Raw genomic sequence first — 13,824 nt, 5'->3', positions numbered from 1 at the left:
TATCAGTTTCATTTGTTGGGTGAGCTTTGAAAAAAACAAGTCTCTTTGTCACGAAATTGTTTTTCTTAGCTGCCAAAAGGAGGTATGTACAGGGTGGTTTGTCCATCCCCACCCCACTAATTCACTCTCCTCAGCAATCGGCAAATCTTAAAACAGACTGTTTGCCTGGTAACCAGCTCCAACTGAGCTGAACCTGTGCAAGGCAAGATTCAAATTGCAATCTTTTGTGTGAACAGAACAGAGGGGCTGTGAATAATTGGCATTGTGGCGATTATTGTGAAACTCAGTATGGTGGTAGTCCTGCGTTTTGCCGGGATGGGATCAGAATCCAATGAGATTTGCATTTGGCGTGCCTGTTGATGATGTGGGAGAGGGAGTGAAAGAAAAGACTAGATCGTTATGGAAAGAGCTGTACGACGTACCCGCAGGACGGACAAATGCAGAAGGCATGACTGTTGTATTTGCATGACTTGTGGCTGGCTGTTTTCTCTAGTTTCATTATCACCATTAACAATTACCTGAAGCTGCATTTTGGTCTCATTTGGGTGGGCTCCGGGTATTTGCTCCAGGTCCTAGCTCCAGGCGGGATGCGTGCTAACTCCTGGTCAGCTAACTATAGGAAGTCATTTCCTCTTCAGAAGGAAAGAGAAGTGAAAGCTGTACCTTCTTAGACTCTCTGCTGTGTTGTTTTGCCTCTGTCCAAATCTCATGGAAACCGACAGCTTGACGTACTTTTTTTTGCAATAGCAGATTTAACTCTGGTGTCATATGGCATATTATATATGGAGAGGAGTAGCAAGGACATTTTTTTCAAATGTTTCAAGTGTGTCTAGCTTGTTGACATTTGCTTTATTTCACTGGCAAGTAGCTACTGTCTTCTAAACCCATAATTGTTTGTCCAAAGTGTTTACCTGTACACTATTGTAATTTCTCTTTACATGTAGAATCTGTAGATGTGACAAATGTCCTCTTTAACCTCAAAGAAAGCAACTCATTTTAGCATCTCTTTGAAAAAAATGTATGCATTTTTTTCACCAAAGACTTAGCTTACTCATTGCTTTATTTTTTGCATAAATATTTTGGTTATCGGCACCACCACACTTCCAATAAAGTTATTTCTCCTTTCTTAGTATACTTTCTGATTATACCAAAAACTTGGCAGATTTGAAAATGGAATATATATTTTTTCAGGAACACTTTTTTGTTCATGCTTCTTTTGTCCATAAATAGCTTTTCCATATTTTCCGTTTCTCTGAATAAGTTCTGCTTAAAGAGCAGAGGAGTGATGTATTGTGGTTGGCACTTAGGGGTGTGTAACCTGAGACTTGGTTTCTAATCCACAAGCGGCTGCCCCACAAGGGGTCTGTAAAATGTCTTATGTTTGGCTCAAAGCTTCTGGATAGAGCAATAATGATTAAGATAGGAGATTCAGCAAATCATCACAGATACAAATGAACATCTGTGTTTGATGCTCCAGCCAGCCTATGACATTTTTTAAAGCTTAGGTCACACAGCTGAAGGGTCCTAAAAGTGTTAATATACCTTAATGCCAAGAACAAGGTAGTTTATTTGTTGTAAAGTACCTTTGAGCTGCACTGTACATTAAATTTTTTAAAATTACACGCCACACTCCACGGTTTATTTTACAGCAGTATCTGGGTTTTGATTCAGTGTGGTTTTATGGAAAAATAAACCTATGTACCAATCTCAACAAACTGAATTTCTTCTCATTTGGTGGTGGTTTTTCTATTTTCTCCACCCACCCGTGATGAACTCTATTTATAGCAACAAAAGAAAATTTAGTATGAGTTATTCCCAATTAAATTTACAGCAAGGCAAATATAAGCTGTGACAAGAACCCTCTTACAGGACACATACACACAAAACCATGTCTCTCAAAACAGGATTAAAAGCGAAAGAGGCAAATGTTAATTTTGCCTACGTGACACATATAATTTCCTTTGAGAGGGTAGGGAAGGTGGCAAAAAGGACAGGTTTAAAGGTGCTGTTCAAAGACCTGGCTCAGCAAGGTGTAAATGGAAAGGGCAGGGGTTCTGTGTCCCCAACCAAGTATTATTGTCTGCACCTCACACTCTTTATCTGTAAAATGGAGGAGGGGAAAATTAGGAGAATTAAACCAAATTGATGATGTAGGTAAAGCAAATAGTATACTGTTTAGCACAAAGTGATGCCCAATGAAAGGTAATTATTATTGTTGTAAATTGTATTTTGTCAAATACTTTAACTCATTTTGATAGATGTTGATTTTGAAAGAAATTGGCATGGTAAACAGGAAGATTATACAATTTTTTAAATTAACCAGATAGACTTCTTATAACTAGATCATTTTGTGTTTTTGTTTTTATTTTGGAAACTTAGTAAAAACAGGGTTATTACCTTTCTGTTCACTTTTAACTAATTCCTAGGATAGTATCCAAAATCCTTACATAATTATTCAAAGAATACATTTTATTTCAAATAGAGAACATGGAAATAAACTGATGCCAAATAACATATCATAGCTTTCCACGTTATTTGCCAAATAACAACTAGGCCAGAATTCCAGCCCTAACATTGTATTAAAATACCTGACAATACTAGTAAATATAGTTTATGATGTCCCAGGCACTGTGCTAATGGTTTGACAAGCATTTTCTCATTTAATCCTCCTCACTACCCTACCAGGTAGATCCTATTTTGCTTTCCGTTATCAAATGAGGAATTGATAAAGAAAATTTTGTTTAAATATACTACTAATGTAAATTGGCATATAGCAGTGCTAGGATTTAAACCCACGCCTGTCTGATTTCAGGATCCACACGATGACCAACATGTTGGAAGTATGCAATAGAGTTTGCCCAGCTCTTCACACTTCCATTTTGGGATCTTGGCCCCATATCTGCTTTGATTCCTCTCCTCATATGTTTAATCCCTCTCAGAGTTTAGGGAATATTTTAAAAATGAAGTTGGGGATTTCCTTGCTCTCACTTTTGGTCTATGCCAGTTAAGATCACATTTTCCTGAGCCATCTCTCCTATTTTTACCGAAGTATAAAATTTGATATAAAAAATGAAACATAAAAAGTTCGTAAATCTACCAAATTCAAGGCAAGCTCTGAAAGTTACCCTAAATCAGTACCACCCTTTGAACTGAGCAAATTTCCCCATATCTGTGGCTTTAGAGGAGGCTGTAGGCCAAGAGGATGGGCTCACTTAGATCTTGCTCTCTGTCCCTTCTGGATCACATTCAGGGTAAATAGGACCCAATAATTTTTTCCCCAAACATTCCTAAGCTCACTTTCAAGAGGTGTATGATGTGCCTCCCCAACCCGTTGCCCCTGAGTCTGAGGGGAAACCAAGAGCCTTCTATTTGCATGAGGGTAGGAAATAGGGCAAGGGATGGATGCTGTTAATCACTGCTTGCACTCATGAGCTGAGATGTCCACACATCTGCATGAAAGGTCTTTTGTAGTGCAGGAAGAAACTATGAAAAAGAAGAAGGGCTAGCCCAGGACTGGGAGCTTCTGCTTATGTTCTTGTTCTGGGTCCCAAAAATATGAGTCAGCCTACCTTGAGTTGCAGAACATTTACTTCTATTTCAGAGTAGTAAACTAAAATTCCACTGCGTTGGTTTTGTGGGGCTTTTGTCTGTTTTTGCTTTTGACTTTTTTCCTCCATTAACCCAAAAGAAATCATTTGAAGAAGGAAGTGGTCAAAACAATGATGATCTCAGGTTCAAGGGAAGACATTGGCTTTTCTAGTTCAGAGGGCATAGTCTTACTTTGGAAAGCAATTTTAGGATTGGCTGGATTAAAACTGTCTGCCATTTGTCTTTTAGGGCACTTGAAAACAGTTGCTTGGAGAGACCCTAGCTAATTTCAGGTGTATTTTCCTTATCTCTAGTTTTAAATTGCAATTGTAACACTTAGAGCTGAGGACTAATAGAAAGCTGCCTGAAGCATCCAAGTGGAACCCTGCCTCACAGGGGAGGTTCCGCCTGTAGGAAGAGTCAAGTCAAAGCAGAGATGGCTATCAATGTCTTTGTGTGGCCTTATGCCATTACTACAGCCCCTTCTGTTTAGTGCATCATTCTCCCAATAGTTCCTTTTCATCTTATGTCACATTGGAGACAAAGACCCTCCTAAGGAGAATTAACAGCCAGGAGTTCTAAGCAACAAATCTTTTTGTAATTACTAAGAAATTTGAGGTTTGGGGGATTTTGTTTTTGTTTTTTAATGAAATGAAAGCTATTATGCAATTAACATGAATGATTTTTTCCTTTTATTTTTATTTCTTTTAGTATTATTTTCACAAAGTAGTTTTCTAGGTGGGAAGACAGAATGCATTGTTGGAAGTATTCCCTACTACTAAACCTTGCAACTTTGCTTTCCTTAGCTATAAAGCAGGTATAGCAATTCCTGTCTCAGGAAGTTGGGAAGATGTAAATGAGATAACTTTATTTCCCAGTATTAGCTATGCTCTCCTCCATATGAAAGTATCTGGCACAGTAAATACTTAACGCATAGTATGCCTACATTAAGTGTTTACCCAATCTGAAAATACAGCAGTTAAATTGATGACTCTGTGAAGACTAATGGGTGCCATATTTATTTTGCCTGGAAGAGTTGGTAGTAGGGATGGTGCAAAGAGGTAACAAACAAACAAAAGCAAGACAAAGCATGCCTTTAGTGGTAGTATCTCCATTTTATTTTTAGTTTCTTCTTTATGTTTTATTTATCATTTGAACTTTTAATAAACATGAATCATTCATATGATTATAAGAAAAGGGAAAACACACTTTTAGGAAATTAGGGGAGAAAATAGCTGTTAGTATATTGTGAACATCTAACTCTGAAAGAGTCAAGCCAAATATCAAAAAAAATGCAAAATACTTGGGAAAGCCATGTGTTCTAGTCAGAATAATCCAGATTACCTTGCTTTGTTCGGTCGTTTTCTAGTTCATTTGTCTATTATTAGTTATTTATTAAGCATGGACCACGTGCCAAGTGCTCTGCTGGGTGATGAGATAACAAAGATGAAATATTTTAATCTTTGAACTCGAGGAGTTTATAATCCAAGGGACATGGATAAATGGGCCCTTAGTTGCAAGTGTGATTCCTTCTCAGCCATGACAGTAACAGATAAGGCTGCTTTCCATTGTAAGTAGTGCCAAGCTTGCAAAACAAAGTAGTTTTCTAGGTGGAAAGGCAGAATGCATTGTTGGAAGTATTCCCTACTACTAAACCTTGCACCCTTGCTTTCCTTTGCTATAAAGCAGACATAGCAATTCCTGTCTCACAGGCGGTTGGGAAGATATAAATGAGATAAGTTTATTTCCCAGTATAAGCTATGCTCTCATGCATATGAAAGTATCTGGCACAGTAAATACTTAACACATAGTATGCCTACATTAAGTGCCCACCCAGTCTGAAAATACAGCAGTTAAACTGATGACTCAAACTGACTTGCTCAACAAAGGGAATATATACTCATAGTGGTGATTATAACTTAAAAGTACATCAGTAAAGCTAGCTTCAAGAGATCTGATCCTGTAGCTCAGCTCACAATATTGTTAAGAAATCCCTTTTGGTCCTGCCACACTGCCTGTCTTTGTGTTAGCTTCATACCAAGACTAATTGCCCTCATGGCCCCAGGACAGTTGCCAGTGACTCCTAGACAACTTGTTTTCATAGTCACATCCAGCTAGAAAGAGATCCTGGCAATGATTCCTAGAATTCACTTTGAAGAGACTGGCTTATATCCACCCCTGAACATGAGACCAAATCTCCAGCCCCATTCTAAAGCTTAGGTAGGATAAAGACAGTCTCCCCAGGACATTATGAGTCCTTAACTGAAATTTGGCAGCTGTTGCTGTTAGGATGGGATGGTGGTGGGGAAGGATGCTGGAAAAGCATCCAGCAGCCATCTATAACTTGTGAAATGTACAATACATAATGTACAAATGTCTACTAGAGTTAGTACATAACATAATGGAATGAAGGCCAAGCATATGATGGTGCATGTCCTTAAATTGGCTTCCAGGAAGAGTAGGAGTTTGCTAGGGGAGAAGAAAGAAGGAAAGGATTTGAGGTAGAGAAAAATGCTCTTTGCAGTCACAAAAGCTAATGAAGTAATTGTTCAACTCGTTGCCTATCTTTACGTTGGCACTATTGCAGAAATCACCAGACAGCCAGAAGCCATGTGCCCAGTAGAATAAGGAACAGAAAACCTAAAGTATCAGTCTCACAAAAATTTGTTGTTGAAAAATGACCGTTGAATTATAAGCTAAACCACAGTCAAATGTTCTGATTCTTTACAATGTGGATACAGATTTGGAGTCAATCAATGTGAACTTTAAAATATATGTTACCAGGCTCAAGAATTATTGTATTTTGAACAAAATCATCATCATCTTCTTCTTCTCCTTTTTACTTCTGATTAAACCTGCTCAGAGAAGATTAATGACTTATGCAGTAACTCAAGTGTATTTGGATTTTGATATCATGATGTTTGTGATACTAAAAAATATGATAAGACAAATAAGAATATATTTTTGTACATGTGTTTGCTAATTGTATGGTGTATATCACTTTGCGAATGAGACATAGAGTAAAATATTTGTTAACAAAATGTCAATGCTTCAAAGAAAAATTAGACTTCACTCTGATTTCTGGATAATTCAAAGTTTATATAATTTATAAGTTCTTCAGCCTTTGGCAATAATCATTTCTTTCCACTGAGGAAGTAGAATAGTTCCTTCATTAAGATTGTACTTAATGGGCTTGGTAATAGTTTTCCGCTAAAATTTCTGACTCCAAATTTAATTAACTACACTTTGGATTGTTTTTCCACTTTTACAGCATAGAAGAGGAAGTGACAAAACTGTTATTTACTTTCTATCACAAGCGTGATCATACAGTTCACAATTTTCTGGCATCCAAATGCAATGATAAAACATTCTTTTTTCACTCATGAAGCTTGTCTCAGTGCTGTCAATCCACCTACCTGGTGGGTATGCTCCTAAATATTCATTTTTCTATCTAGCTTCTTTCCAAAGAACAGACAATAATAGCAATAAACAGAATCAAAGTATATTTCTTCTTGCCTCTTGCTTCTGGTGTATAAAATCTGTTCATAAAACCTGCATCCAGGCATGAGTAAGTGCTCCCAGCCTAGCTGTGTCACTGAGGAGCCCAAGACTTCTGTTTTCACTCAGAAAACATGCTTGAGTCAGAGAAGGGTGCAGTGACCAGGTAGGAAATGCTTCCCAGGGCACTGGCTTCTTCCTCTTCAGATTAGACAGTTCTTCAGTGCAGAGAAAGAAGCAACTAAAAATAGTGGAAGGGTGACAGATAATGTTTATTTAAAAGCACATATGTCATATGTCATATAAGCATTAAAAGGTACCATTATTACTATGGCATAACTTCATTTCCCCATAGCACAAACCAGATAAAATCTTCTTTGTCTTGTTTTGTGGCTTCCTTGTACAAATAGAGAAACTGTTCCTTGGATGAATTTCTTACCTTATCAGTAAGTGTGTTGAGTTCCTGACAAATAGAGGATGCCAAAGAAGTATCAAAGATGCCAGCACTAATATTCTGGCTGCAGGCAGTGCTTCTGCTTCTTAAAATATTGAAATATATTCTTGTTAGTAAAGAGCTTCTACCCTGGGCCCGCTGAGTGCTCCTCTACAAGCTGCTTCACACTGGAACCCCTGAATCCCTTCCCTAGGACTCTCACACATCTCCATGATTGAGCAACTAAAGCATTAATACCTGGCACAGCTAGTTGTAAATATTTTGACATCACTTCTATGTAATACTCATCTTATTTTTAAAGAACTTACGGCTACAATTAGGGAGAATAACATTTAGACACAGAAACAATGTGTAACTAAGTATTAAGATGTTTAAGGCAGCCATGTATGAGTTTTTAAAAAGTGGTAAAGGAGATATTTGAGGTTGTCTGGAAAGACAGGTCAGGGATTTGGATAGGGCAGAGGTAAAGGAGTAAAAGACAATGGCAGAATGTACAATTTTTAAAATTCATTTACTTAACAAATAATAACAAAATTCTCCATTTGTTTACTGCTGCTGTGTGCAAAGCACTGAATACATGTTATCTCATTTACTTCTCACAGTAGCACTATAAAAATAGAGGAGAAAATGAGGCTTGTTCACACAGTTGGAAAGTAGCAGGACAGCACATATGATACCCACCATTTCCCACAATGTTCAAGACACTGTATTAGGTGCTGGCATGGTGAATATGAAGATGTATCTTTCTACTTGTAAGGGCCAGTAGCAAACCCAAGGAAATATTGGCAGCCCCTTAATCGAACAAAAAAGTGCTAGTGGGCCTTCTACCATCAACAACCTCATTTTAAAATATTACAGGATAATGCATTATTGTCTTGCTTGCTTCAGTTGCCCCACTAGCAACATAAAGAGTAAAATGTGAGCCATAGGGTACTAGCTAAACTCATTATAATTTGATTATCTGATCTTCCAACATTAGTCTTCTCATGACCTTTTCATAACATAGGACGTTAGAAAAAGCAATAAAACACAGTCAAAATGTTTAGCCTATTGACAAAGTGTTGCTTTCCATCTTTAAATGGAAACTGAAAGAGCGAGCCTATTTATTAATGATTCTGTGGCAAATATTGCTTTTTTAAAAAACTCTCCAGTTATGCCCTGCACAACAATGAGCATGTGTTTGTCATGACTAAAAATTATATGGACAAATATATGTTTTTAGTCCAAAACATAGGCATTGCCTCATTTCTTACTAAAATACCTCACAGAGAGTTTTTTTTGTTTGTTTTGTTTTGCTTTGTTTTGTTTTTGAGACAGCCTTGCTATGTCGTCCAGGTTGGAGTGAGTGCAGTGGCGCTATCTTGGCTCACTGCAACCTCCGACTCCCGGGTTCAAGTGATTCTCCTGCCTCAGCCTCCCGAGTAGCTAGGACTACAGGTGTGTGCCACTACATCCAGCTAATTTTTTTGCATTTTTAGTAGAGACGGGTTTCACCATGTTGGTCAGGCTGGTCTCACACTCCTGACCTCGTGATTCACCCGCCTCGGCCTCCCAAAGTGCTGGGATTACAGGCGTGAGCCACCGCATCCAGCCTGAGAGTTTCTTGAAGACAGGGATTTGATTTCATTCATCCCTATATGCCTAGCATCTCACATGATGCCTCAACACAAACACACCAAAAATACTGGTTGATAAATGCCAGCTGATACATCCTTCAAAGGAGGATGGAGACAACATGAGATAGAAAAGGTGGGGAAGAATTTCTGAAGCTGAACTAGAAGATGATACAGGAATTTACTAGATATATAGAGAAGAGTATTGTTAGGAGTACACTGAGCAATCTTCCCAAAATAAGTAAGTATGCTCACAGAGTTTGCATGTTTAAGAAAATCAAGGAGGCCGGGCACGGTGGCTCACACCTGCAATCTCAGCACTTTGGGAGGCCAAGGTGGGCGGATCACCTGAGGTCAGGAGTTTGAGACCAGCCTGACCAACATGGAGAAACCCTGTATCTACTAAAAGTACAAAATTAGCCGGGCGTGGTGCCTGTAGTCCCAACCACTTGGGAGGCTGAGGCAGGAGAATCACTTGAACCCGGGAGGCAGAGGTTGCGGTGAGCTGAGATGGCACCATTGCAGTAGCCTGGGCAACAAGAGCGAAATTCCATCAAAAAGAAGAAGAAAAAGAAAGAAAGAAGGGGAAGAAAGGGAAGGAAGGGAAGGAAAGGAAAGAAGGGAAGGAAGGGAAATCAAGGAAGGCCTCAATGTTTCTACAACATTTTTTTCTCCTGGTGTCCCATTTCTCTAGATTTCCTTCCTTACTCCCTTCCCCTTTATTTGTCTTACCCTCCATTCATTCTTTAAAACTCAGGCTTCTTCAATAAATAATTGGCAAAGAAAAAAGAGACATAGGGGAAACACTTAAAAGTAACAAATTGTAAGCAATGAACATTTGTGTATTTCAATTCAAACAAAACATAAATGGTAAAACAAGTCATGACAATGAGACAATTGGAGATTTGGACATCAATTATATATGTGGTGAAAAGTTATTGGTAATATTTGAGATGTGACAATTGTATTGTGCTTATATTAAAAACAAGCACCCTTATCTTTTAGAGCTACACGCTGACATAGGCATGGATGAAATTATTTGCCTCAAAATAATACAAGAGAGGGAAAGGGAGTAGGGATATTGATGAAACAAAAAATAAATAAGCATTATTTATTTATTGATTAATTGTCCTTCTGAAAGATGTTTCTCTTCCCTTCCTCCCCACCAGTTGGGTCTTTCTTGCTATATCCCAAATACTCACAGCTTATTTCTTTAACTACATTTATCTTATTATATGATAATTATCTGTTTTGGTGGATCTTATCACCAGAGGGAGCTCATTAGTAAGGACAGATTTTTCTTTGTCCTTCCATTGACTGCTCATAGGAGGGGCTCAATAGTATTGGGTAGAAGGATGAAAAGATAAATGAATCGATACAGACTCTACATCAGGATGTGTGATTCAAGCAGTGTGGGTTCACGTTGATTTCCCCTACATTCATCTAATTCTTAAGAAATAAATCTCAATTTATGTTCTATATACCACACAGCATTTGCTCACAACGGAAAGCCATAAATGCAGCACTCTAATTAAAACTAGATAATTCACACATTTTCATTTAATATTAATAGAATACCACGTTGCAGGGCCATGTTCTTAATTAGGATAAGATAGCATTGTACCAAACCCATTTAGTTGTCATAGTGATAAGGAAGATATAAAGGAAAACATTTTCCTTGTGTTTAAAATTTTTAAAAATTAAATTAGGGTTATTTGAATCTACTTTTTAAATATAATATGTACAAAGAAATGTACGTGTACACAGAAATACATACATCTATATATGTATTCATGAAGATGGAGTACACCTTCCATGAGACACAGCAGCCTAGAATGTTTCTTTATAGAAACAAAAGTTTGCCTCCTTTTTATTTTTAAGGAGAATATTTTAATCAAATCACTTCATAGTAGTATACTATTATTGGAAATATCAATTTACTTAGATTCCCTTCTAATGTTAACATGTACATGCCCAAAAATTTGCCTGAGAAAGAATTTGGGAATATATCTGTCCTTCAGAGTTCTTAGTTACCCACCCAGGAGCAATGCAATGAGATAAATTTATTAAAACATTCATGATGTTCCCAAGAGAACCTGTTTAGCAGACCAGATGGAATTGCTGGGTTTTTTTGTGTTTTGGTTTTTTTTTTTAAAGAAATGTCTTCATCTATGACAACACAATGAATTTTCTTACATCTTAAAATTTCATGAATATGTGCTTGTGAGTGAGCCCAAAGGTATTCATTTTCTTCTGTGGTAGAGATAAAATTCCTGATATTAAATTGCAAATAAGGACAATGTATACCAAAACCTATCATGGTGACCAAGAAGTATTGAGACTCCATATATAGAGTCACCAGTGATGGGTTTTTTTTTTCTGTATGTCCAGAACCTAGCCTTGGCCTGAAACCTGTGGGTGCTTGGTAGATGTTTGTTGACATTTTTTCCTGCTTTCACCTTCTCCTGGGAACCTTGTCACCTACCACCACAAGCATCCACTCTATTTGTAACACGTAGAAGAAGCCTGGAAATGATAAAAGCACATTAACTGGAGAAAAGTCTACAGAGTTTGGCAAGACTCTTGAGAAATGCAGAGGTGAACTAGACATCTGTTTACTCCTAATCCTCATGGAACTCACTGGAATATTTATGATGCCTGTCCTCAGCTGGATAAGCTGGTTGAGTTAGGTAGATGTGATATTGCACCCACCACAGTATACATCACTGCTCTGAGAGCTAAGAGACCAAAGAATTTAAAGCATAGCTATAAGATTAAAATTATTTTCAGATAATCATCTTTTCACCATTTGGGTCAAGATTTGGTTTTAAACTATCTTTCCCTCTTAAATCCATAGCTCTTCCTTTGGCTTGTCCTAACGAGGAACTGCATAATTGCAAGTGTTTGCTCTTTCATTTATTCAGTTATCTAGAAAGTATTCATTTAGTGCTTACTTTATGTTTAGCACTGTTCTGGGTGCAGAGAAATACATGATAGCTTTTCATGTTTGTTTGTCTTAAATTTTTTCCTTTGTTTTTCAGGGTTGGAAAAGTTGTCTGTTCCTCTTTATTTCAGGGCATAAACACCCTTGTGGTCCCTTCAAAATAGAGTCAAAACATAGCAATCAACATGAAAATAGTTAAACTTGAAAATCATAGGCCATTATATTAAGGGTACAAATTATGCTTCGTTTTTAATTAAGTGGACCTAAGTTTGAAAGGTCAAGGGATCCTTCTGTTTATAAGAGGGTTGTATTCTTTTGTGAGCCTTAATTGTGTATTGCATATCTATAATATATGTATACATTGGCATAGAAATGTACATGTAGACAGAAATACATACATCTATATATGTATTCATGAAGATGGAGTACACCTTCCATGAGACACAGCAGCCTAGAATGTTTCTTTATAGACTTTTCAGCAGAAACATACTCAGTATCAATTTGCTTTTATATGTGGCCTTCTGAATTGAAAAGTTATTGCTAGAGGTGCGAATATTATTTTGCAGTAAATTAATAGGAATGAGTAATTTGAAAGAGTGTGAGTAGGGAGAGGGGGTTCATGAGGAGAGGGACCAGGACTGTTTTACCCACTACTGTATTCCTGGGACCTAACATAATACTCTGCCTGGCACACAGTAGCAGGGGTTCAGTGAATAAACAGATCAATTAGTACAAGCTCAGGATTGGGAAAATATTCCAATAGAGCATTTTGATGGGCCAGGAAATTCTTTGGCCATAAAATAAAGAAGAAATTTTTGCTGCCTGTAGATTTCATTAAACTCAGCAAACATGTATTGCCTTCTGAGTTTTACCAGGGACTAGTAATTTGGTGCTGAGCGAATAACTGTTCCTGGGCTTTAGAAGCTCATAGTCTATCATAAAAAAAAAATATATATATATATATATGTGTGTGTGTGTTTATATACACATATATATGTTTATATACACATATATATGTGTGTTTATATACACATATATATGTGTGTTTATATACACATATATATGTGTGTTTATATACACATATATATGTGTTTATATACACATATATATGTGTTTATATACACATATATATACACATACATATATACTTATACATATATACATACACATGTGTGTATATATACATGTGTGTGTGTATATATAGTTTTTCTTCCATTTTATTGTAATTTAAATTACAGTAATAGCATATGAGTACAATTATATTACTGTTAAAAAAGTACAGAGGTAACCCAGAGAAAACAGTGATTACCTCTACTTAGTAGGGCTAAGAAAAACTTCTCTGAATGTCTTTGCAGTATTTTAAAGAACCAAGGCTATCCCAGGTAGAATGAGCAGCCTATACAAAAGTATGGAGCTATGAAACAGCAAGATGTGTCCTGGGACTGATAGCTTTTTGTTCTTAAGCTATAAAATGTGTTGTCTTTGCAGAGAAGAGTGGTAGATGAGCCTGGAGAGGAAGAATTGAAAATAGATTTTCTTGGCAAATTGACAACTGGATATTTTTATGCATCAGTCTGAAAGCCCTCCATTCTACCTTGTTTCTACATAAATCTGACCCTGCTTCAATATCCACCACGTCTGTGATGCCAGACATAGCCATTGCTTCCATGAACATCAGCCTGAGTGCCCTCATTTTGTTTGTTTGGTTTCTTTGTTTTTGTTTCTGC

At 37.1% G+C, this 13,824-nt stretch overlaps 1 protein-coding gene and 1 long non-coding RNA gene across 64 annotated transcripts in view, besides 1 other annotated feature; one reads left to right on the top strand and one right to left on the bottom strand.

Moving 5' to 3' along the window:
- Positions 1–13,824, top strand: part of DLG2 (discs large MAGUK scaffold protein 2) — a 2,173,362-nt gene that overhangs the window by 1,946,460 nt on the left and 213,078 nt on the right. The window lies entirely within an intron of this gene.
- Positions 1–13,824, bottom strand: part of DLG2-AS2 (DLG2 antisense RNA 2) — an 87,698-nt gene that overhangs the window by 43,477 nt on the left and 30,397 nt on the right. The window lies entirely within an intron of this gene.
- Positions 323–382: an enhancer, noted in NCBI's record as "active region_5354". NCBI's record gives its function as "activates an Ori minimal core promoter by ATAC-STARR-seq in GM12878 lymphoblastoid cells {active_cell/tissue: GM12878}" and the evidence as "EXISTENCE:reporter gene assay evidence [ECO:0000049][PMID:35858748]".

Source organism: Homo sapiens, chromosome 11 (assembly GCF_000001405.40).
Source record: "Homo sapiens chromosome 11, GRCh38.p14 Primary Assembly".
In the NCBI taxonomy this organism is placed as follows: Eukaryota; Metazoa; Chordata; class Mammalia; order Primates; family Hominidae; genus Homo; species Homo sapiens.
Note: the sequence above shows the minus strand (reverse complement) of the source record. Positions and strands in the feature narration are given on the sequence as shown.